Genomic DNA, 25608 nt, shown 5'->3' with positions numbered 1-25608 from the left:
ATTTTAAAAAAGGCTTTCTAGAAAAACACTGCATACACACACAAAAAGATTCTAAAAATGTGAATTTTAGGAGCAGTGAAAGAGATATTTTTGGAAAGATTGGATTTTTGCTGATTCTCTAAAAATAGCTGTTAGCTATTCCATCTACAACAAAACTCATTCCTGATGAGACCATAAATGAATATTTTTACTTTTGAATTAATAAAATAAATTCTATTTGGTAATTTGAGGAAGGCATATATGTTAAGGAAGTAAATTCTGGTATATATACCCTGACAACAGCATCTGGCTGTAGTTCTGTGGAAAAATTTCAGAGTGTTTCTGGGATGGGTAATAATTCCCTTTCACCCGTTCAGCTATTGCTGGTGGTTTTTCCTTAGTCGTAATACTCCATGTTATATGGATGAGAAGACAGTAGTACTTCTGAAGCAATGATTTCCAAACTTTTGGATTTCAGTGACCAAAACAATAACAAAAATCTTGATCAACCTCAGATTGTTGGTTTTTTTTCTAGTGTTTTTTTGAGGTTGTCATTTTCTAAGATTTCCAAATAAGGCTTGATATTAAGTAAACCATTTATGATCATAATCCTTTTGTGAAAGAAATGGCATTTTAACACCAAAGGATTAGGAAGGTTGTAATTTTAGAATAAAAGAGAGTCCTTTAAATTAAATCTATTTAGCTCTAAGAAATGCTCTGTGAACTGTTCTATTTTTCTTCTTTTGTTGAGGACCCCTCATGGACTAATACTGATTCCTCAGTTACAAGGTCTATTGTTTTGGGCTATTTACCTCAAGCTAAGAATGAGCTCTGCAGTTTAGTCCAGGGTATCATACACAAATTATCATTTTATATGTTGCCTTAACTTGAAAAGGGTGGTATGCCACTGGTGTAGAGCAGAGGCTCTTAATGTGTGCTCCCTGGAGAGCAGCATCAGTGTCATCTGGGAACCTATTAGAAAGGCAAATTCTCAAGCCCATCCCAGGCTTACTAAAATCAGAAACTCTACGGGTAGTGTCCAGCAGTCTGTTATCATAAGCTTTCTAGGTGATCCTGAGGAGAACACCAGTTTGCAAACACTACTGTAAGGAACAGAGGTCTGGACCTGAGAGTTGAAAAGCCTATGTTCAGTTTCTATCTTTCACTAACTACAACCTTCTTCTTTTTTTTTGAGATGGAGTTTTGCTCTTGTTGCTCAGGCTGCAATGCAGTGGCACAATCTCAGCTCACTGCAACGTCTGCTTCCCACGTGCAAGCAATTCTCCTGCTTCAGCCTCCCGAGTAGCTGGGATTACAGGTGCCTACCACCATGCCCGGCTAATTTTTTGTATTTTTAGTAGAGATGGCGTTTCACCATGTTGGCCAGGCTGGTCTTGAACTCCTGACCTCAGGTGATCCACCCGCCTCTGCCTCCCAAAGTGCTGGGATTACAGGCATGAGCCACTGCGCCTGGCCTACAACCTTGAATGAGTCACAATGTCTTCATGTTCTAATTGCCCTACCTATGGAAAAGATAAAATTGGTTTCCTGCAGCACAAGGTAGTTTTGAAAATAAGTATGTGAAAGCTCCCCAAGTTCCTCACAGATAAGTCAACATGACACTATCCATCCAAAGTGGTGGTAATAACAACTTCATCCTGTTTTCATCAAGCTACTCCAAACTGTCATACTCATAAAATATTCTAAGCCTGTTTTTCAAGGTTTGAATCACTCCACCCAACATGGTGATATTAAATATTTAATGAGTATAGTTTTTATTCATTCGTTCAATCGTGAACAAGAACTTTAAGCAATACTAAGCCTAGTATCATTTTTCCTGAAAAAACTATATTTTTATTAGCTTTGAAGCACTCATTAGCTTTCCTCTCCCTTTCTTGAAAATTCTTCTAAGAAATTGTGCATTTATATAAAGAAAGTAGACTTAAATAGAACTTTGGGTAAATGCAAAAAATTTACTAAACCCATACAAATTTTACTGATTATATTCCCTGCTTTCTCTACCATCACTTATTTTAACATAAGAATAGCATTCTTAATTCTCCCAAGATAAAACATGATTTTATCAGAACAATTTAAGTAATAGCTTCTGCAGTTCCCTGTGAAGATAACTATGCCAGACACTGAATCCCAAATTCCACTGGCATCTACAGAATCATCCTTTTATCTACTAGACTCATTAATGCTTATGGAAGGCATAGGTAGTTTTAAGTAGATTTAAAAATTTTCATTTGAAAAGTTTGCCTTGCCCCTTGTGAGCTGAGGCATTATTCTAATTTTTCAGCAAGTGCCACAGATAATTCCATGCAGGTGGAATCTGTTATGGTTTTCACATATCCAGTCCAATTACACACACACACACACACACACACACACACACACACACAAATATGTATAGTGTTTTGGAATCATTGTTTTAGAAAAACAGATTAAATATTAGATTAAAAAATAGGTTAAAACCCCCAAAACTTAAATCTAATCTTAGTGATGTTTACATTTATGGCCATCTGCCTCAGTTTCATGACTTTTTTTGTTTGTTTGTTTTTGTTTTTTTGAGACGGAGTCTCTCTCTGTCGCCTAGGCTGGGGTGCATTGGCACAATCTTGGCTCACTGCAACCTCCGCCTCCTGGGTTCAAGCAATTCTCTTGCCTCAGCCTCCCAAGTAGCTGGGACTACAGGCACGTGCCACCACGCCTGGCTAATTTTTTGTATTTTTAGTAGAGATGGGGTTTCACCATGTTGCCAGGATGGTCTCAATCTCCTGACCTTGTGATCCACCCACCTCGGCCTCCCAAAGTGCTGGGATTACAGGCGTGAGCCACCGCACCTGGCCTATTTTTTCTTAACCTAAGACTTTTCTCCATATTGAGGTCATTCAAAGGGACAAGATATGGAAAATTCTCACAGACCAAATCAATGTTGTACCAGTTATCAAATAAAATAACCATCCAACATCAAACCAAACCCAAAACACTGGAAGCCTAAAGACTTACTTACCAATGACAGGGTTGCTATTTCTGTGAGCTGGTTTAGGGGGAGGGATAGGGGGCTGCTTGGCAGGGACCATATGAGTGAGGCTTGGGGTAGCAGTAGTGTTAGTGCTGGCAGGAGCAGCAGGCAGAGTCCTGGGTGCTGGGGAAGGGGTGACAGAGAGATTAACAGTCTTTGCAAGGCTTGTGGCAGCAGTGGTGGCAGCGGGTGCTGTGGTGATGGAGGTGGAGATGATGAACCTTGCCGTGCCGCCAGAGGAAGTGGCATCCTTTGCTTGCCCTTCACTTGCTTCATGAGAAGAGGACAAGGGTCTTTTGGGAGGAAGTAAAGGTGGTTTGGGTACATTCTCAGGAACAGACTCTGCTTCAGAATTAGGCTGGCTTCCAGTTGAGCCTGTGTAATAACATGTATGGTATAAAAAGGGAAGAGAGAGTAACAAGAGAAACTGAAAAAGCTAACACATCTATGAATTTGTGGCCAATTTCACCAATTAATTTATAGATTAGCTTATAGGTTACCATTCTCAATGCCTCCCAACCTCCCCATACTTAAGAAATGTCAGTAAGAAAGGCTCACTAAGAGATGCTCATTGTGGTAGTGATTCTTCACACAAGGGCCAGGCTACTGGAGGAGAGCCACAACAAAATTCCTTGGGTGAAAGAAGTGGAATGTGTAGCTGGAAAAAATCCTATAGGTATCTGATACTTAACATCCTCTTCCCTTCTTGAGGATCACAAATTTAGGTATTTAGTGAATAAAAGCGGGGTGGGGGAGGAAATTCCCCTTGAAGTTGCTAGTTAAGGTATTGTTAAAGGAGAATGTAATTCTCTCTAGATTTCACTTTTCCCTGTTCTCTTGCAAACCCCTTATGTAAGGAGAATAACTGGCCCGTGGCTCTTAAACTCAAAAATCCAGAGTTTCTTACCTAGTCGTTTCTTTAGGTCCTCTTCTGGAATAGCTTTCCTAAGACTTGCTAATCTTACTGGCTCTTCCTCTACTTGGACTGGACTAGATGATCTGGCATTCCCTATGGGGGTGGTATGGCCATTCTTTAACATGGCATCGCTTGGCTTTCCTGGATCCTCACCACCTGCAAGGTGAAAGAAGAGTACAAAGTGATGAAGTTGGCATGAACAGATAGAAAGAAGAGTTAGTAATTTCTTTTTTTCTTTCTCTCTCTTTTTTAAATTGAGACAGGGTCTCACTATGTTGCCCAGGCTGGTCTTGAACTCCTGGGCTCAAGCAATCAGCCCGCCTTGGTCTCCCGAAGTGCTAGGATAAATGGCATGAATCACTGCGCCTGGCCAGAGTTGGTGATTTGAGACAGGGTCTCACAGACCAGGCTGGAGTGCAGTGGCATGATCTTGGCTCGCTGCAGCCTCTGCCTCCCGGGTTCACGCCATTCTCCTGCCTCAGCCTCCTGAGTATCTGGGACTAGACGCCTGCCACCACGCCCGACTAATTTTTTGTATTTTTTAGTGGAGACGGGGTTTCACCGTGTTAGCCAGGATGGTCTCGATCTCCTGACCTCGTGATCTGCCCGCCTCAGCCCCCAAAGTGCTGGGATTACAGGCGTGAGCCACCGTGCCCGGCCCAGGGTTGGTGATTTCTAACCTTTCTTATCTTCTTTCCCTCGTCTTCCTGTTTTAGTTTATTATTGAGATCTAGATTATCTGGATGCTTAAACAGAAACAAGTGATTTCTTTTTCCAATACATGTTTGATAGCCTACTATGTGCCAAGTACGTTGTTATATGAATAAGACAAATAAAAGCCGGGCGCAGTGTCTCACACCTGTAATCTCAGCACTTTGGGAGGCTGAGGCAGGTGGATCACCTGAGGTCAAGAGTTCGAGACCAGCCTGTCTAACATGGTAAAACCTTGTCTCTACTAAAAATACAAAAATTATCCAGGCATGGTAGCAAGCGCCTGTAATCCCAGCTATTCAGGAGGCTGAGGCAGGAGAATCAACTGAACCCAGGAGGCAGAGGTTGCAGTAAGCCAAGATTGTGTCATTGCACTCCAGCCTGGGCAGCAGAGCAAAACTTCCAACTCAAAGAAAGAAAAAAAAAGACAAACGAATAGGGCAAACTTATATATAAGTAACTACAATGTTAAATGTCAAGAGCTCTAATTAGTGAAGTACTGTGGTAGGAATGAAGAAGAAATCATTTTCCTGGAGTGAGAATAGAGTTAGGAAGGCATCACAGAAAGTATCTGAGCTGGAGTTGAGATGGTCTTGCTATGTTACCAGAATGGGCCTTGAACTCCTGGGCTCAAACAGTCCTCCTCTCTCAGACTCCCTAGTAGATGGGACTATAGCACACACCACCATGCCTTGCTTTGAACTGGATCTTGAAGGAGTAGGAGCCTACCACACTGAATAAAGACAGTCTGTTTGGAAGAAGGACAGCATGTATAAAGGTGTGAAGTTATTCAACGTGTTTGGGGCACTGGCAACTAGTTTGGTCTGGCAGGAGAATAGATTCACATAAGAAATGGTTATGGGGGGCCGGGTGTAGTGGCTCACGCCTGTAATCCCAACACTCTGGGAGGCCGAGGCGGGTGGATCATCTGAGGTCAGGAGTTTGAGACCAGCCTGGCCAACATGGTGAAACCCCGTCTTTACTAACAATACAAAAATTATTCGGGTGTGGTGGCAGGTGCCTGTAATCCCAGCTACTCGGGAGGCTGAGGCAACAGACTCCATCTCAAAAAAAAAAAAAAAAAAGAAATGGTTATGGGCTGGGCACAGTGGTGCTCATGCCTGTAATCCCAACAATTTGGGAGGCTGAGGCGGGAGGATCGTTGAGCCCAAGAGTTTGAGATCAGCCTGCGAAACATAGTAAGACCCTGTCTCTACAAAAAAGTAAAAAAACTAGCTGGGTGTGGTGGCACATGCCTAGTCCCAGCTACCTGGGAGGCTGAGGTGGGAGGACTGTTTGAACCCAGGAGGTCAAGGGTACAGTAAGCCATGATCAGACCACTGTGCTCTAGCCTGGGTGACAGAGTGAAATCCAACATCATTCTTCATGAAGTTCCAATAAGAGGTGGAGTGTAGGCTCAAAGTAATGAAGATTCTAAGGCAAGTGAAAAGGTACTTCTAAAGCCAAAGTAATCTGACAACTACTTTTTATTTTTAAAACAGGGTGGGGGTAAGATGACAACAACTATACAAAAATAGTAAGTTACTGCCCATGTTTAACAAAAACAAGATTTTCTAGAATACTGAAGCAATGATTTCAAAGTCAACAAAGGCTGCTCTTTGTGAAAACAACATAATAAAGTTTAAGACAGTGTTAATTAGTTTCTACTCAGCACACACTAGTGAAATACATGCAAAAGTGATCAGTTATCTCAAGTTACTTAATCAGGGATGTCTACTTTGCAGTATCATTTCTTATATTAAATATAGAGGGTTCTGCAATGTTAATGAAGTGGAGTAGTACTATGGGGCTTTAACATCACTGAATGTTCTCCCTAAACCCAGAAAATCAATTAAAATCAATTAAATATTTTACAGTACAGTCAAGTTAGCACTATAATCAAGCCAAAAGCCACCTTTTTTTAAAAAAAAAAACAGGGTCTCACTCTGTCGCCCAGGCTGGAGTGCAGTGGTGCAATTAATACTTACTGCAGCCTTCAATCTTCTGGGCTCAAGCCATCCTCCATCTTTTGGGCTCAAGTAGCTAGGACTACAGGCCTGCACTACCATACCTGGCTAATTTAAAAAATCTTTTATAGAGATGAGGTCTCACTATGTTGCTCAGGCTGGTCTGGAACTACTGAGTTCAAGGGATCCTCCCACACTGGCCTCCCAAAGTGCTGGGATTACAGCATGAGCCACCGCGCCAGGCCAGCCAAAAGTTCCCTTTAAGTATGCAGAGGACTTCAAGGTTCAAACACTACTTTTGGCCTAAAATGCAGATCTATAAGCCAGCATGAGGCCCATCCCTGTTTTTAGATACAGAATAAAGCTTAGGTCATTTATCTGGTTGGCAGAATGGCATCTTGTCCAATGGCTGCAACTCGTTTATTAATTGGGCCTGTGAACTTGTAGGCTAAAAACAACTTGGATTAGGGGCTAATAGAAAGTATAGGGCAAAAGATCATCAGGCGTGGTGGCTCATGCCTATAATCCCAGAACTTTGGAAGGCCGAGGCAGGTGGATCACTTGAGCTCAGGAGTTTGAGACCAGCCTGGCCAAAACGGTGAAACCCTGTCTATTAAAAATACAAAAATTAGCTGGGTGTGGTGATGCATGCCTATAATTCCAGCTACTCGGGAGGCTGAGGAAGGAGAATTGCTTGAACCCAGGAGGCAGAGGTTGCCGTGAGTGTAGGGCAAAAGAGACTGAAGGTGAAAAACAAGAAATGAGTAATGTATGTGGTTTATGATAAGTGAGCAAGAAAGGTGAAAAGAAAGGCCATGGAAAGTGGAACAGCTGTATCAAAAAAGCAAGGGCCAGGCCAGGCATGGTGGCTCACGCCTGTAATCCCAGCACTTTGGGAGGCTGAGGTGGCTGGATCACTTGAGGTCAGGAGTTCGAGACCAGTCTGGCCAACATGGTGAAAACCCCAACTCTACTAAAAATACAAAAATTAGCCAGGTGTGGTGGCGGATGCCTGTAATCACAGCTCCTCGGGAGGCTGAGGCTGGAAAATTGCTTGAACCCAGCAGATGGAGGTTGCAGTGAGCCAAGATCACACCACTGCACTCCAGCCTGGGAGAGAGAGTGAGACTCTGTCTCAAAAAAGAAAGCAAAGCAAGGGCCAAAGAGGTGCTACAGTGAAACCATTAAAGTAGTACGTAACTACCTAAATACTGAGAAGATTTTGTGTCCTAATGTAAAAAAACAAATAGAGTTATATAAAACAAAAGTTATATATGCTCATAACTAGTCACATACAAAAAAAAAAAAAGAAAGAAAGAAAACATCGCATAGCACCTGGGCACAGCAGCTCACGCCTGTAATCCCAGCACTTTGGGAGGCTGAGGCAGGAAGACTGCTTGTGCTGCCCATGAGTTTGAGACTAGCCTGGGCAACATAGGGAGACCCTGTCTCAATTAAAAAACAAAAAAAAAGCCCACCCATGTTCCCACCTCAACTTCAGAGGTAACCAATTGTAATAATATTTCAAATTGCTCCTTCAAGCTTGTTGTCTCTGGTTAGTTTTTATACAGTTGAGATAATAAATCTTCAATACATACAATTTAATTTTTTGAATAGGCAATATATTCGCATGGTTTAAAGCCCAAAAAGTATACAGTAATACTCCATCTATTTGGTTCCTTTCCCCTATTCTTCAAAGGATATGATTTTTTAAATTTTTTTGAGAAGGAGTCTTGCTCTGTTGCCCAGGCTGGAGTGCAGTGGCGCCATCTCAGCTCACTGCAACCTCTGCCTCCTGAGTTCAAGTGATTCTCCTGCCTCAGCCTCCCAAGTAGCTGGTACTACAGGTGCCTGCTACTATGCCCTCCTAATTTTTTGTATTTTTAGTAGAGATGGGGTTTCACCATTTTGGCCAGGCTGGTCTCAAACTCCTGACCTTAAGTGTTCTGCCCGTCTCGGCCTCCTAAAATACTGGGATTACAGGCGTGAGCCACCATGCCTGGCCAGTATACAATATGGCTTTCAGATTTTGCCTCATGCAACATAACTCAGATGAAGAGAAATGAGATGCAACCAATGTACTATACTTTCACATTTGCAATAACTTGCTTCATAGAGTCACACATTGAAGAAAGTCTTGACATTATTAAACAAACAATGACTGGTAGACTGGTGCAGTGATATGGGCATGGGGACAAATGTGTTCAAAAAAGAAAATGAGCTGGGCGCGGTGGCTCAAGCCTGTAATCCCAGCACTTTGGGAGGCCGAGGTGGGCAGAACACCTGAGGTCAGGAGTTCGAGACCAGCCTGGCCAACTTGGTGAAACCTCATCTCTACTAAAAATGAAAAAATTAGCCAGGCACAGTGGCTCACACCTGTAGTCCCAGAACTTTGGGAGGCCAAGGCGGGCGGATCACCTGAGGTTAGAAGTTCAAGACCAGCCTGACCAACATGGTGAAACCCCATCTCTACTAAAAAGTCAAAAGTTAGCTGGGGGTGGTGACAGGTGCCTGTAATCCCAGCTACTTGGGAGGCTGAGGCACGAGAATTGCTTGAACCCAGGAGGCAGAGGTTGCAGTGAGCCAAGATTGTGCCACTGCACTCCAGCCTGGGCAACAGAGCAAGACTCTGTCTCAAGGGGGGGAAAAAAAAGACACGCAATATTGTAGCTGGCACAAAGTTGAGGATGTACACAGAGGAAAGGAATGTTTGCCCCAAGGAAGGAAGGGTGAACTTTTTTTTTTAAAGGCCACCCTCCAACCCAAAAATAGCAATATAAAAGAAAGAAAGAAAATTCAAATATCTCGTCAGACCCAATCAAAGACCAAGTGCACAGAGACAGGCATATGCTATTTATTTGTAAACTCACCTTGCTCAGGGTCTTCCAACAGAACCCCTCTTTTAACCAGCTCTTCTCTTGGCTTTCGCATAGATATTTTCCGTTCTAAAACTAACATTAAATTGGAAAATGGCACTCAGAAATGTGACAGTTGAAAGTCAACCTTACACTTAGCATTCTAATTCTACAGGTAAAAGAATAAAGTAGTTTAAGTTTATATTCTCAGGAAAGAAAATAACTAGCAGACTAACTTCAAATTAAAACTCTTAAATTTCTTTTATAACCTGTGCTGTCAGGAAAGCATCACTTCCAAAAAACTAGCCTTACATAATTGTAACTTAAGAGAAAATTTCATTAGTAAGTTATTTACGGATGAACTTTGTGTGGATGGGCAGAGTAGAAAATAAGCATTTTATTTATGTATGTATCAACTCATTCAGTCATTTTCTTCACCAAGTTCTGATGGAAAGAAGCATCTTAGATTTGCGACAGTTCAGGAACTCCATTCACCACTCAATAGATACTTATATGCCATCAAAATACAAACCTGGGAATGAGGGTATACAATATTAGGTTTAGTACATGACCATTTTGATGTTTAATTCTAAAAGATTAAACTCTGGCCAGCCACAGTGGCTCATGCTTGTAATCCCAGCACTTTGGGAGGCTGAGGTGGGAGGATCGCTTGAGCCCAGGAGTTCAAGACCAGCCTGGGAAACATAAGGAGACCCCATCTCTACAAAGAATTTAAAAATTAACTGGGCACAGTAGCTCATGCTTGTACTTCCAGCTACTTGGGAGGCTGAGGCAGGAGGATTACATGAGCCCAGGAGGTTGAATCTGCAGTGAACTGTGATTGCGCCACTGTACTCTAGCCTGGGCAACAGAGGGAGATCCTGTCTCACCAAAAAAAAAAAAAAAAAAAAAGAAGAAGGAAAGAATAAAACATTAAATACCCTCTTCAAATAGAGGACTACAGAAACTTGGGAAGATAAGGAAAAATTAAATACATCTAACATAGAGAATTCTAACTCAGAACACACATTTAACCCTTAATATCTCACCTTCTGAAGTCTCTTTAAATTTATCACTACTTTTTTTTTTCCTCCATTTCCAGGGCTTGAAGATCTTGCCAAAGCCTGAGAACTTGCTCTTCCTTTTGGTAGGAGGTGTTGTGTCTCCTGCTTCCACACTGTCCAGGACCATGCCTGGCTCTGTAGTGGGCTGGTCTGCTTCCTCTGTTACATGAAAAGAAGAGAGGGAAGGAAGCAAATGTATTATTTCAGCATAATCTCTAAAATGTCCCTTCCCCTCTCTTCCTGTGGTAGTTGGAAAGGATCGGAGCAACGATAAACAATCATGCAGACAGGGAGACTCCTGGACATCACATGGACACCAAACATCAAAATCCATTAACAGATAAACTACTAAGGAGAAAAAGGAACCAAACCAAGCTGACATCATTTTAGGACAAAATCTGGTGAAATGATCAGAGCCGGCTCAAAATCTTTTAAAGGCGCATGTATACAAAATGTGGATATCTTAACAAATGCATGAGATCTTGCCTTACTGAGGCAGGGAATTCCTGCCTCATTAGTGAGTGAATCATTTTCTCTATTAAACATTGCCCTTTCCCTGCCCTTTTCAGGATATAAATAGTTCAGGGAGAGGTAACACATTGTTAGTACCTTACTTATATCTGCTCATCAAATTATTTTCTCCCTTCACAAAAGGACCCTAGGTATTGGAAAGTGCTCAGGGTTGCGGGGCAGAAGCATTAGAAAGCGGGTACATTAAATTGGAGGGAAATGTTTTCAGAAAGTAGAGGTGAGATTCCAATTTGTTTACCATAGTAGTGCCTTAGAGACAATCATAGGCTGAGCACAGTGGCTCATTTCTGTAATCCCAGCACTGTGGGAGGCTGAGGCAGGCAGATCGCTTAAGCTCAGGAGCTTGAGATCAACCAGGGCAGTAAGGTGAAACCCTGTCTCTACAAATAATACAAAAACAAAAATTAGCTGGGCATGGTGGTGTGCACCTGTAGTCCCAACTACTCAGGAGGCTGAGTTGGGAAGATGGCTTGAGCCTGGGAGGTCAATGCTGCAGTTGGCTGTGATTAAGATACTGCACTCCAGCCTGGGCAACAGAGTGAGAGCCTGTCTCAAACACACACACACACACACACACACACACACACACACACACACACACACAAACACACACACCATAATATTAAGGATTTGACATAAAACATAACTGACATGATACATGTGCAGAACTGAAATAAAAGGCCATGAACCCCTCATAATGACCATGCATGCAGGGTTTAGTTAGTTAGTTTTAATGGCAGAGAAAGGAGAGCCAAGGCGGGGCCAAGAATTTAAAGAAAGGAAAAAAAAAAAAACCAGCAGGAAGGCAACCAAAAAAAAGCAGGAAGGTACACAATGCAGCTTTGCACTCCACCTACTGTTCCAAGGTTCTCTGGAGAAGTCTAGAGAGGAAGAAAAAAAGAGTCATGTGGAAAAACCATCCTGAAATTAAAGTGGAACCTCTACTTTGTAGAAATACATCAAGGAACAGCATATGATAAGCTAACATGTTGACTGTAAACAATTTCACATCTGAAGCAAGTAACACTTTTGGAGGAGGGTAAAAAGGTCATAATAGTCACTAAAACATCTTTTTTAAAAAAATTTATTATTATTATTATTATTATTTTAGAAACAGGGTCTCACTCTGTTGCCCAGGATGAAGTGCAGTAGTGTAATCACAGCTCACTGCAGCCTCAAATTCCCGATCTCAAATGATCCTCCTGCCTCAGCCTCCTGAGTAGCCAGGACTATAAGCATGTACCATCACTCCTGGCTAATTACAAAAACAATTTTGTTTTGTAGAGATAGGGTCTCACCAAATTGCTCAGGGTGGTCTCAAATGCCTGGTCTCAAGAGATCCTCCCTGCTTGGCCTCCCAAAAGCACTGGGATTAAAGGTGTGTACCACCACACCTGGCCTCTCTCTCTTTTAAAACTAGGTATTTTCAAAAGAGAAAATATACAACCAACAGCATTAAATTTTTAAAAGAAACAACTGCCAAATTCAATCTTTTTTTCACTTGATTGATGGAGGTTTAGGGAAGTTTTTCAATAAAGGTTAGATTTATACAATCGTAATTATCACAGTAAATGCAATGGTGACTACTGATGCATTAGTTTGCTATGCCCAGAAGACTTAGGCAAAATAGCATCCTCATTACTAAAGTGCAAAAGATGGAAATGACAAGAGGACAGTGACTCTTCCTAGTTGCATGACTTATACAAGGACATTCTGGGTCTCAATTACTTTAACACTTTACATGAAATACACTAGAATCTGATTATCTATCTATCTATCTATCTATCTATCTATCTGTCTCTCTATCTATTTATCTAGTTATTTTAGAGACAGGGTTTCGTTCTGTTGCCCAGCATGGAGTGCAGTGGCACAATCACAGCTCACTGAGCCTTCAACTCCAGGACTCAAGCAATCCTCTGCCTCAGCCTCCTGAGTAGCTGAGATTACAGGCAAATAGTTGAAATTATGAGAATGTCTCAGATTACAGACACTGGCTACAGCATCTGGCTTCTCTTCTTTTTTAGGTAAAGAAAGACCAGCCTGGGGAACATGAAGAAACCCTGTCTCTTAAAAAAAAAAAAAAATTAGTTGGGCAGGGTGCCATGTGCCTAGTCCCAGCTACTTGCGAGGCTGAGGTGGGAAGATCGCTTGAGCTCAGCAGGTCCAGGCTGCAATGAGCTGTGATCGTGCCACTGCACTCCAGCCTGGGCGACAGAGCCATACTGATATAGTTTAGATATGTGTCCCGCTCAAATCTCAGGTTGAATTGTAATCTTCAGTACTGGAAGTGGGGCCTGGTTGGAGGTGACTGGATCATGGGGGTGGATTTCTCATGAATAGTTTAGCACCATCCATATGGTGCTGCCTTAGCAATAGTGAGTGAGTTCTCGTGAGATCTGGTCGTTTAAAAGTATGTGGCATCTCCCTCTTTGCTCTCTTGTTCCTGCTCTGGTCACGTGACATGCTTATTCCTGGTTGGTTTTCTGTCATGATTCATGATTGTAAGTTTCCTGAGACCTCCCCAGAAGCAGGGCAGTTGCAAGCATTATGTTTCCTGTACAGCCTACAGAACCACGAGTCAAATAAAGCTCTTTTCTTTATAAATTATCCAGTCCCAGGGATCTCTTTATAGCAATGCAAGAATGGCTTAATACAGGGACCTTGTCTCAAAAAAAAAATAGTTGATACATAAGCAAAATATGTATAAAAAAAATAAAGCCACTGAATACAAAAAACAGAGCAACATTTTCTTTGCTTCTCATGCAAATGTGCTTGATTTTCACTTTTACAAAACTTTTAGAGGCAGATGTCCTTCTTTCCTCTTACCTCCTGTGTTGGGGTAGAGCCACACCTGGCCCTGACTCAGTTATCTCAAATTCACACATACATATTCATATCCTCATATTCTCCCTCCTTCCTTCCCCTCTTTTTCCTACTCTCCAGGACAAACAGTACATTATTTCCAAGACTCCGAAATCTGTCCAAATACTTGGAATCAGCCCAATTGCCTTTTCAAAATACAGAATCTCCAGGAGGTAGGACTTTCAGAATCTGTTTTAAAAAATCTCTCCAGGTCAGCCTAGGGTCCTAAGGTCAGTCAGGTGTGTTAAACCCAATACCAGATTATTATCTGGAAACCTCATGGAGGTTAAAAGAGACAGAGGCAGACATTTTCTGGCTATAGGCTGCTTCTTTGTTGAAGAAAAATGAATTAGGGGCCAGGCATGGTGACTCATGCCTGTAATCCCAGCACTTTGGGAAGCCGAGGCAGGCAGACCACCTGAGATCAGGAGTTTGAGACCAGCCTAGCCAACATGGTGAAACCTCGTCTCTACTAAAAATACAAAAATTAGCTGGGTGTGGTGGTACACGCCTATAATCCCAGCTACTCGGGAGGCTGAGGCAGGAGAATCTTGAACTTGGGAGGCGGAGGTTGCAGTGAGCCAAGATCACATCACTGCACTCCAGCCTGGGTGAAAGCAAAACTCTGTCTCAAAAAAAAAAAAAAAAAAAAGAAAGAAAGAAAAAGAAAAAGAAAAATGAGGCCAGATGCGGTGGCTCATGCCTGTAATCCCAACACTTTGGGAGGCCGAGACAGGTGGATCACTTGAGGGCAGGAGGTTGAGACCAGCCTGGCCAACATGAGGAAACCCTGTCTCTATTAAAAATACAACAACAAAAAAAAATTAGCTGAGTATGGTGGCAGGCACCTATAATCCCAGCTACTTGGGAGGCTGAGGCAGGAGAATGGCTTGAATGCGGGAGGTGGAGGTTACAGTGAGCTGAGCTGGTCTCAAACTGCTGGGTTCAAGTGGTCCTTCCACCTCAGTCTCCCAACGTGGTAGGATAATTGGAGTGTTTAGGCCATTTATATTTAATGCTTTTCCTATATATCTCAAATATGGTCCAAGTTGCAAATAAACAACAGAAGCTTACAGTTGTTTCTTCCCAAATTTATAATACATTATCTCCAATTATGTGTTATTGGAAAGTGTATTGTGCAATTGTTGGGTATGGTGTTCTAAATATGCCAATTAGGTCAAGGTGGTTAATCATATACAAATCATTAAGATCCCTTCTGATTTGTTGTCTGTTTGCTCTATCAGTAACTGAGAGAGGTATGTTAACATCTCTAATTATGAAAGTGATGGCCGGGCGCGGCGGCTCACACCTGTAATCCCAGCACTTTGGGAGGCCGAGGTGGGCGGATCACGAGGTCAGGAGATCGAGACCATGGTGAAACCCCATCTCTACTAAAAATACAAAAAATTAGCCGGGCGCAGTGGCGGGTGCCTATAGTCCCAGCTACTAGGGAGGCTGAGGCAGGAGAATGGCGTGAACCCGGGAGGTGGAGCTTGCAGAGAGCCGAGATCACGCCACTGTACTCCAGCCTGGGCGACAGAGCGAGACTCCGTCTCAAAAAAAAAAAAAAAAAAAAAAAAGACAAAGTGATTTCTCTCTTAGTTCTATTAATTTTTGCTTTATATACTTTGAAGCTGTTATGAGGTATATACAAATTTAGAGTTATTATATCTTCCTTTTGAATGGACTTTTTTATCTTTCTGGGTTCAATCAATCCTCTGGCCTCAGTCTCCAGAGCAGCTGGGATTAAAAGCGTGTGCCACTACACCTGGCTAATTAAAAAAAAAATTTTTTTTTAATAGAGACAAGGTCTTGCTATCTTGCCCAGGCTGGTCTCAAACCCCTGAGCTCAAGGGATCCTCCCACCTTGGCCTTCCAAAGTGCTAAGATTACGGGCGTGTGCCACCGTGCCTGGCCGTGTTCCATGTATTCTTTTCCTGCCTGAATTACATCCAGGGTCCTCTTCTTTTGGTCCTGATCCAGTAGCAACTTTTATGCTTTGTCCACAGCTTCAAAAGCCTTTTGTGCTCTGTCAGCATCATGATTTTTGTCAGGACGCACCAATGTGGATAACTGCTGAAACCTCTTTTTTTAATTTCTTCATCTGTAACTTCAGGATCTAACTGAAGAACCTCAAATGGGTTCAAATTGAAGTAAGAGGAACCAGGACGGGTCCATCTTTCAATCTGATTTTTGGATGTTAGAACCGAGTCTCTCTTCTCTATTTGTTTCACCTCACTGTAGAAGGTCAGAAATGCATCCACTGTGCTGCCTCTGCTGCCCAAGTCCCACTCTCTCGTGAAGCCGCCATTTCCCCAGCCCAGCCACCACCTATGTATATATACTTATAAAAATGGCAGGCAACTGCAGCTACAGACCTCAATCTATGGTATGCATCACATCAGGCGATTCAACTTTTCCTTGTGTTTTCTCTTTTTTTCGTTTTCAACTTTTTCTTATAATGTCATGACTCTTCTCTGCTTCTTAAGAGCAATTCCAGTATCATTAGTGGCACGTGTTGTAGGTCCCGTGGTGTTATTCAAGATTTATGATATTGCACTAAGCTATGAAGAACTGCTCACTAGAAAATTAGCATCATACAGCATTTTAAGTGGATACTGGCAATACTTGAGCTCACTTCAATAGTAATAGGAGGTGGCTATGAAATTACAGCAGTACAGTATATGCTAGTTAATTTAATTCATTTTTATTTTTATTTATTTATTTTTTTGAGACAAAGTTTCATTCTTGTTGCCCAGGCTGGAGTGCAATGGCGTGATCTCGGCTCACCACAACCTCTGCCTCCTGGGTTCAAGCGATTCTCCTGCCTCAGCCTCCCAAGTAGCCGGGATTACAGGTACGCAAAACCACACCCGGCTAACTTTTGTATTTTTAGTAGAGATAGGGTTTCGCCATGTTGGCTAGGCTGGTCTCGAGCTCCTGACCTCAAGTGATCCACCCACCTTGGCCTCCCAAAGTGCTGGGATTACAGGCGTGAGCCACTGTGCCCGGACTTATTTTTATTTTTATTATTTGTTTGTATTTTTTATTTTTTGAGATGGAGTCTCACTCTGTCTCCCAGGCTGGAGTGCAGTGGTGTGATCTTGGCTCACTGCAACCTCCGCCTCCCAGGTTCAAGTGATTCTTCTGCCTTAGCCTCCTGAGTAGCTGGGACTATAGGCGTGTACCACCACGCCCAGCTAATCTTAGTAGAGATGAGGTTTCAACATGTTGGCCAGGCTGGTCTTGAACTCCAGATCTAAAGTGATCTACCCACCTTGGCCTCCCAGAGTGCTGGGATTACAGGCATGAGCCATTGTGCCCAGCCTCTTTTTAAAATTTTTGAGACAGCATCTCACTCTTGCCCAGGCTAGAGTGCAGTGGTGAGATGAGAGCTCACTGCAGCCTCCAACTCCTGGTGGGATCAAGTGATCCTCCCACCTCAGCTGTCTGAGTAGCTGGGACAACAGGCATGTGCCACCACACCTGGCTAATTTTTTAATTTTTTGTAGAGATGGGGTCTCACTATGTCGCCCAGGTCGACCTTGAACTCCTGGCCTCAAGTAATCCTCTTGCCTCAGATTCCCAAAGTGCTGGGATTACAGGCAAAAGCCACCACATCTGGTCTGCCTGTGAGTTTTTTTTTTCAAATTGTTGTAAATCTCCAAACAATCTGTCAATACATTTATTGAAAAACATCCACACATAAGAACCCACACAGTTGAAACCTGTGTTGTTTAAAGGTCAACTGTAATCTGGATTCTAAGAGTTCTTTTAAGTATATTCTCCTAGTTTGCCACAAGTAAAATATTGTGCTAAAGGAGCTAGAAACCAAATTTAATGAAGATCTAAATATGCCAGGTAAAAGTGTTTTAGCTGTATAATAAAGAGTTTTGAAGAATGCATAAATTTGCCAGGCATGGTGGCTCATGCTTTTAATCCTAGCACTCTGGGAGGTCGAGGTAGTGGGGATCACTTGAGCCCAGGAGTTTAAGATCAGCTTGAGCAACATAGGGAGACCCTGCCTCTACAAAAAAAAAAAATTAGCCAAGTGTGGTGCTTGCCTATAGTCTTAGCTACTTGGGAGGCTGGGGCAGGAGGATCCTTTGATCTGAGGAGGTTGAGGCTGTAGTGAGCTGTGATTGTGCCACTGCACTCCAGCCTGGGCAACAAGTGAGACCCTGTCTCAAAGAAAAAAATTAATGCATAAGTGCTTCATAGCAGTGGCTGATTAGATCTAATTAAGCCATTTATCTCTAAAACTGCTACAATAACACTGGGCAGGGCACAGTGATGCGCACCTGTTGTCCTAGTTACTCAGGAGGCTGAGGCAGGAAGATTGCTTGAGTCTAGGAGTTGAGGCTGTATTGTGATATGTATCATTGCACCTGTGAATAGCCACTGCACTCCAGCCTGGGCAACACAGCAATACCCTGTATCTAAAATTAAAAAAAAAAAAAATCCTGCTACAATAGTTCAAGCTTCAAGCTTCTTAGTATGAATTTCTGTTTGACAGGAGGATTCAATTGCAATGCTTAGAAACTGTAATAGAAACAAAGAGAAACTGACAGATGAATACATTACAGAACAAAGAGTAGGCTGGATGCAGTGGCTCACGCCTGTAATCCCAGCACATTGGAAGGCCAGGTGGGTGGATTGCTTAAACCCAGGAGTTCAAGACCAGCCTGGGCAACATACTGAGACATCATCTTTACAAAAATACAAAAATTAGGCTGGGTGCGGTGGCTCGTGCCTATAATCCTAGCATTTTGGGAGGCCGAGGTGGGCGGGTCACTTGAGGTCAGGAGTTGGAGACCAGCATGGCCAACATGAAACCCTGTTTCTACTAAAAATACAAAAAAAAAAAAAAAAAAAAGCTGGGTGTGGTGGTACATGCCTGTAGTTCCAGCTACTGGGGAGGCTGAGGCATGAGAATCTCTTGAACCCGGGAGGCAGAGGCTGCAGTGAGCTGAGACAACTCCACTGCACTCCAGCATGGGCCACAGAGCAAGACTCCCTCTCAAAAACAAAACAAAACGAAAACCACACACACACACACAACAATTGGCTGGGCGTGGTGGCATGCACCTGCAGTCCCAGATACTCGGTAGGCTAAGGCGAGGGAACTGCTTAAGCTCAGGTGGTTGAGGTTGCAGTGAGCTGTGATCATACCACTGTACTACAACCTGGGTGACAGAGGGAGAACCTGCCTCAAAACAAACAAACAAACAACCAAAAAAAACAAAAACAAAAAATATACTCAGGTATCCAGAAATCATCACTGTTTTTTAAAAAATTATATAAGTACACCCAAATTTGTTTTATACTAATAAAGGACTAAGAAAGATGGGCCTGAAACTGTTCATACGCCAATTCTGCACATAAATCTTTGTTCTCAGCATCTGATTTTATAAAATGCTCCCTCTAATTTCCAATTTGACAGAGAACATATAGGCATGCAGTCACATTTGGATAGACTGTTGTTTCTGTTTAAACTAGTTATGGCATTTTAAATGGCCTATGGCCCCATTCTGTTTTCTATGAGTGAAAAAAAAAAAAAAAGGTAGTTTTCCTTTGTTTGCCAGAAATCAGGGTGTAGGATGCTGGGTATAGTTTTACAATTGTGTGTTCCAAAGAAAACACCTTTTTCTTTGAGTCATGTAGCTACAGGCCATTAGGAAAGCACGTCACAGAGTTGACAGTCTTGGTGTTTTTTGGAGGGGGTGGAGGCTGGGAGTGGAAGATAACTAACCAAATTACAGTTTGGAGTTTCCTGTTTGAGTAGTACCCTGAAACCAGGCCTGGTATTTAAACTACTTACTCCCTCATTCAAGTTGTAGCACCTCACATATCATAGGCTTGTTTCTTACATCATTAATTATGCAGAGTTCTAGTAGTTTCTTCAACCACCATATTTTTCCTAGTAAATATTTAATTGAAGTTTTTAAGTGCAAGTGTAGTTGTTTCATATGAATTTCAGGGGTGATTTTTTTTTTTTTTATACAGAGTGTCACTCTGTCACCCTGGCTGGAGGGCAATGGCACGATCTCAGCTCACTGCAACCCCTGCCTCCTGGGTTCAAGGGATTCTCCTGTCTCAGCCTCCCAAGTAGCTGGGATTACAGGTGCCCACCACCACGCCTGGCTAACTTTTGTATTTTTAGTAGAGACAGGGTTTCACCATGTTGGCCAGGCTGGTCTCAAACTCCTGACCTCAGGTGATCCACCCACTTTGGCCTCCCAAAGTGCTGGGATTACAGGTGTGAGCCACAGCACTGGGCCATTGGCTGTGATTTTTAAATAAATGTATGATATTTATAAAAACCACTTAGCACCTTTCATCTTCGGATAAAGTATTCATTAACTATTTGCTATAGATACATATTATACCTGCATAACTTGATGGAGATATGAGATAAAACAGGATTAAACAATATGCCCTAGGTCAAAGATAATGTTAATTTTAGAATTAGATTTACAACCAATTATTTATTTTATTATACATATATATTTTTATTTTTTAGATATGGGGTATGTTACCCAGGCTAGAGTACAGTGGCTATTAATGGGCGCGATCATGGCACAGTGCAGCCTCAAACTCCTGGTCTCAAGCAATCCTGCTGCTTCAGCCTCTCAAGTCACTGGGGCTCTAGGGGTGCACCACTGCACCTGGCACAGCCAGTTGTTGTTGTTGTTGTTGTTTTGTTTTGAGACAGTGTCTCACTCTTTCACCCAGCTTGGAATACAATGGCATGATCATAACTCACTGCAACCTTGGACTCCTGGGCTCAAGCAATCTTCCTGCCTCAGCCTCTGAGAAGATAGAACTACAGGTGCAGACCACCTTATCTGGCTAATTTTTTTAGTAGAGATCAGGTTTCGCTATGTTGCCCAGGCTGGTCTCGAACTCCTGGTCTCAAGCAATCCTCCTGCCTCAGCCTCTCAAAGTGTGTGAGCTACCATGCCTTGTCCCCCCACCCCCGCCCCCCGCTTTACTTGACTTGGTAATAAGTAACAAAGTTATTGGATCTGTATGAACTCTCTGTATGTTTTACACCTTATCAGGTTTTTTTTTTTTTTTTTTTTTTTTGAGATGGAGTCTCGCTCTGTCGCCCAGGCTGGAGTGCAGTGGCACGATCTCGGCTCACTGCAAGCTCCACCTCCCGGGTTCACGCCATTCTCCTGCCTCAGCCTCCCAAGTAGCTGGGACTACAGGCGCCCACCACCATGCCCAGCTAATTTTTTTTTTTTTTTTTTTTTTTAAGTAGAGATGGGATTTCACTGTGTTAGCCAGGATGGTCTCGATCTCCTGACCTCATGATCCGCCCTCCTCGGCCTCCCACAGTGCTGGGATTACAGGCATAAGACACAGCGCCCGGCCACCTTATCAGGTTTCCTTTCCTTTCCTTTCCTTTCCTTTCCTTTTTCCTTTCCCCTTTCCTTTCCTTTCTTTTCTTTTCTTTTTTTTTGAAACAAAGTCTTGCTCTGTCACCCAGGCTGGAGTGCAATGGTGTGATCACCTGAGGTCAGGAGTTCCAGCCAGCCTGGCCAACAGTGATCTATCCGCTTCGACCTCCCAAAGTGCTAGGATTACAGGCATGAGCCACCGTGCCCAGCCTATTTGTCCAAAATTTTAATGTATGATTTTATTCAACAAGGTATACATACTTCACTGTGAAGAAGTACCAAATATCTTCATAATATAATGGTTTAGTCTGTTTTTAAGCCCACCTAGCTGGAAACAGATTTGCTATAAACAACCTTTTCACAGTATCAGAACATTGTAAACGTAGAACATTCATTTATGGTATTTACACTACTGTACTTATTCATTTTTGCCTTCTAAAAGAGGATTATTATTGGCTTTAAACAACTGTTTCAGAAAACTTCGGCAAAATTACAGAAAATAAACCTGCCACTAATGAACAAAGCAGGCTTTGTATAGAGAAGGCCCACAACTTCCTGTGGAAATATTGCATAGATCTGACCCTTGGGAATTAGAAAGAACTCGGTAAAGCCGTCAGGAGAAGATAGTCAGGTGGAAGGTCTCTCTCTGAACTTGCAGGTACAGTTATGTCTGAGATTCTACCTCTGGAAAAATAGTTTTCTGCCTATGATTGTATCAAGAAGTGAAGTTGCTTTACCACTGGCAACTTAATGTGCACACTGTTCTGACAAAAAATTCCAGGTTAAGGGTATGTTTTTATAGTGAAGGGCCAGAATATAAGCTATTCACTCATGGAAAAAAAACTTCAAACTTTCCAAAGTTTACTTGCAAGTAGAAAGACGAAATACATAGCCAGGCATGGTGGTGGGCACCTGTAATGCCAGCTACTTGGGAGGCTGAGGCAGGAGAATCACCTGAATCCAGGAGGCAGAGGTTGTAGTAAGTCGAGATCGTGCCACTGCACTCCAGCCTGGGCGACAGAGTGAGACTGTCTCAAAAAAAAAAAAAAGAAAAAAGAAAGAGGAAATACATATGTAGGTTGTGATAATAGGTCTATTAGTCCATTCTTGCATTGCTATAAAGAATTACCTGAGGCCAGGTACAGTGGCTCACACCTGTAATCCCAGCACTTTGGGAGGCCAAGGCAGGAGGATCACCTGAGGTCAGGAGTTCAAGACCAGCCTGGCCAATACGGCGAAACCCCGTCTCTACTAAAAATACAAAAAGTAGCCAGGCTTGGTGGCACGCGCCTGTAGTCCCAGCTACTCAGGAGGCCAAGGCAGGAGAATTACTTTGAACCCAGGAGGTAGAGGTTGCAGTGAGCTGAGATCGCACCACTGGACTCCAGCCTGGGCAACAAAGTGAGACTCTATCTAAATAAATAAATAAATAAATAAATAAAAAGAAATACCTGAGACTGGGTAATTTATAAAGAAAAGAGGCTTAATTGGCTCATGTTTCTGCAGTCTGTATAGGAAGAATGATGCTAGTATCTGCCTGGCTTCGGGGGAAGCTGCAGGAACTTACAATCATGGTGGAAGATGAAGGGGGAGTAGACACGTCACATGGCCCAGAACAGGAGCAAGAGAGCAAGGGGGCAGGTGCCACACACTTTTCTTTTTTTTTGAGATGGAGCCTCACTCTGTTGCCCAGGCTGGAGTACAGTGGCGCAATCCTGGCTCACGACAACCTCCGCCTCCAGGGTTCAAGGGATTCTCCTGCCTCAGCCTCCTGAATAGCTGGGACTACAGGCACACGCCACCATGCCCGGCTAATTTTTGTAGTTTTAGTAAAGACAGGGTTTCACCATGTTGGCCAGGCTGGTCTTGAACTCCCGACCTCATGATCCACCTGCCTCGGCCTCCCAAAGTGCTGGGATTACAGGCATGAGCCACTGCACCCAGCCTCCACACACTTTTAAATGACCAGATCTCATGAGAACTTACTATCTTGAGGACAGTACTAAGTGGATGGTGTTAAACCATTCGTGAGAAATCCACCCCAATCACCTCCCACCAGGTCCCACTTCCAACACTGGGGATTACAATTTAACATGGGATCTGGTTGGGGACCTAGATCCAAACCTTATTAATGGCCTATTTAGAAAATCCACTGGAGCAGAGAGAGGGATCAATAAGTTTTGGTTGGTAGTCCAAATTTGATAACAGAGAATCTTTTAAGGAGTTTATGACAGACCCCTATATTGCCACCTCCTCCTGAACACTGGATTACATGAGGAAAGTATGCCTGTTTCTCCTTTTTTAAAAGAAAGCATTTACTGTTAGATAAACAGCAGACAGGTATGAGAAATGTCTTTATAATTCTGATAACCAAATACTACTAAGCCTTTTTCTCCAAAATCTCATGAAGTACTTTATTTTAAATTAACCTATTATTTACTCCAGTTTTATTGTTGTTATGTAGCTATGTTAAATTTTATTCATCCTGCAATCTCCTTAGGATTTTGCCTCTAAGTGATAATATATTTCTTTTCCTTTCTTTTTTGTTTTTCAAACACAGTCTCGCTCTGTTAGCCAGGCTGCAGTGCAGTGACATGATCATGGCTCACTGCAGCCTCAACCTCCTGGGCTCAAGTGATCCTCCCATCTCAGCCTCCTGAACAGCTGGGACTGCAGGTGTGCACCACCACACCTGACTAATTGTTACATTTTTTTTGTAGAGATGGGGGATGATATATTTCCAAATCACGTTCCCCAAAACTGCTTCCAGTATCATAAGGGTGAGAACCCCATAACTCCAAGTTTCAGAGAAAATAAATCAAATGGTTATGGAAAAGGAATGTAGGAAAGAGAACATACAGTATCTTTTATAGCAATATATTATTATGCAAAAGAAAAGTGGGGGGAAAAGTTAATTAGTGAATTAGGGTAAATGAAGGGGCAAAAAGGAAAAAAAAAGAGAGGTAAAATGGAAAGACAGAGAAGGAAAGTTCCAAGCCAAATGGTTGGAGAGAATTTATTAAAAATCTTTGGTCCTTCTAATTAGAATTAGGAAGGGCTGGGTGCAGTGACTTATGTTTGTAATCCTAGCACTTTGGGAGGCCAAAGTGGGAGGATCGCATGAGCCCAGGAGTTCAAGACCAGCCTGGGCAACATAGCGAGACTCTGTCTTAAAAAAGAATAATTAAATATGGCCAGGTGAGGTGGCTCACGCCTGTAATCCCAGCACTTTGGGGGGCTGAGGCAGGTGGATCATGAGGTCAGGAGTTCAGGACCAGCCTGGCCAAGATGGTGAAACCCCGTCTCTACCTAAAATACAAAAATTAGTCGGGCATGCTGGCAGGCGCCTGTAATCCCAGCTACTCAGGAGGCTGAGGCAGAGAATTGCTTGAACCCGAGAGGTGGAGGTTGCAGTGAGCTGAAATCGTGCCACTGCACTCCGCCTGGGCAACAGAGAAAGACTCTGCCTCAAAAAAATAAAATAAATAAATAAATAGTTAAATAATATAAAAATGGGAGGCTGGGCGCAGTGGCTCACACCTGTAATCCCAGCACTTTGGGATGCCGAGGCAAGTGGATCACGAGGTCAGGAGATCGAGACCATCCTGGCTAACACGGTGAAACCCCGTCTCTACTAAAAATACAAAAAAAAAAAAAAAAAATTAGCTGGGTGCGGTGGCAGGCGCCTGTAGTCCTAGCTACTTGGGAGGCTGAGGCAGGAGAATGGCGTGAACCCGGGAGGTGGAGCTTGCAGTGAGCCGAGATCGCGCCACTGCACTCCAGCCTGGCCAACACAGCGAGACTCTGTCTCAAAAAATAATAATAATAAAAATAAAAAAATAAATAATATAAAAATGGGAAAGACCAAATGATCTGAAGAGACATTTCTCAAAAGAAGACATAAAAATGCCCAAATAGGCCAAGGGCTGTGGCTTATGCCTGTAGTCCCAGTACTTTGGGAGGCTGAAGTGGGCGGATCACAAGGTCAGGAGATCAAGACCATCCTGGCCAACATGGTGAAACCCTGTCTGTATTAAAAATACAAAAATTAGCTGGTCATGGTGGCACGTGCCTGTAATCCCAGCTACTCGGGAGGCTGGGGCAGGAGAACAGCCTGAACCAGGGAGTCGGAGGTTGCAGTGAGCCAAGACTGCTCACGCCACTGCATTCCAGCCTGGCGACAGAGCAAGACTCTGTCTCAAAAAAAAAAAAAAAAAAAAAAAAAAAAAAGCCAAATATATTTTTTTAAATGCTCAACATAACAAATCATCAGGTGAATGCAAATCAAA

At 42.8% G+C, this 25608-nt stretch overlaps 1 protein-coding gene across 6 annotated transcripts in view, besides 1 other annotated feature; it reads right to left on the bottom strand.

Moving 5' to 3' along the window:
• PHACTR4 (phosphatase and actin regulator 4) overlaps positions 1-25608 on the bottom strand; it is a 130625-nt gene that overhangs the window by 30601 nt on the left and 74416 nt on the right. For 3 of the 6 annotated variants that reach the window (NM_001350160.2, NM_001048183.3, NM_023923.4), the window contains 4 exons: positions 10506-10679; positions 9472-9552; positions 3915-4079; positions 2996-3382 (listed from right to left, as the gene is read on the bottom strand). In NM_001350160.2, the coding sequence (NP_001337089.1) occupies positions 2996-3382; positions 3915-4079; positions 9472-9552; positions 10506-10679 (807 nt within the window). Of the gene's footprint in view, positions 1-2995; positions 3383-3914; positions 4080-9471; positions 9553-10505; positions 10680-11904; positions 11933-25608 lie in introns of all 6 variants that reach the window. The other 3 variants (NM_001350159.2, NM_001350158.2, NM_001350161.2) reach the window with 2 other exon arrangements.
• Positions 18942-18991: a silencer, noted in NCBI's record as "silent region_540". NCBI's record gives its function as "represses an Ori minimal core promoter by ATAC-STARR-seq in GM12878 lymphoblastoid cells {active_cell/tissue: GM12878}" and the evidence as "EXISTENCE:reporter gene assay evidence [ECO:0000049][PMID:35858748]".

Source organism: Homo sapiens, chromosome 1 (genome assembly GCF_000001405.40).
Source record: "Homo sapiens chromosome 1, GRCh38.p14 Primary Assembly".
In the NCBI taxonomy this organism is placed as follows: Eukaryota; Metazoa; Chordata; class Mammalia; order Primates; family Hominidae; genus Homo; species Homo sapiens.
Note: the sequence above shows the minus strand (reverse complement) of the source record. Positions and strands in the feature narration are given on the sequence as shown.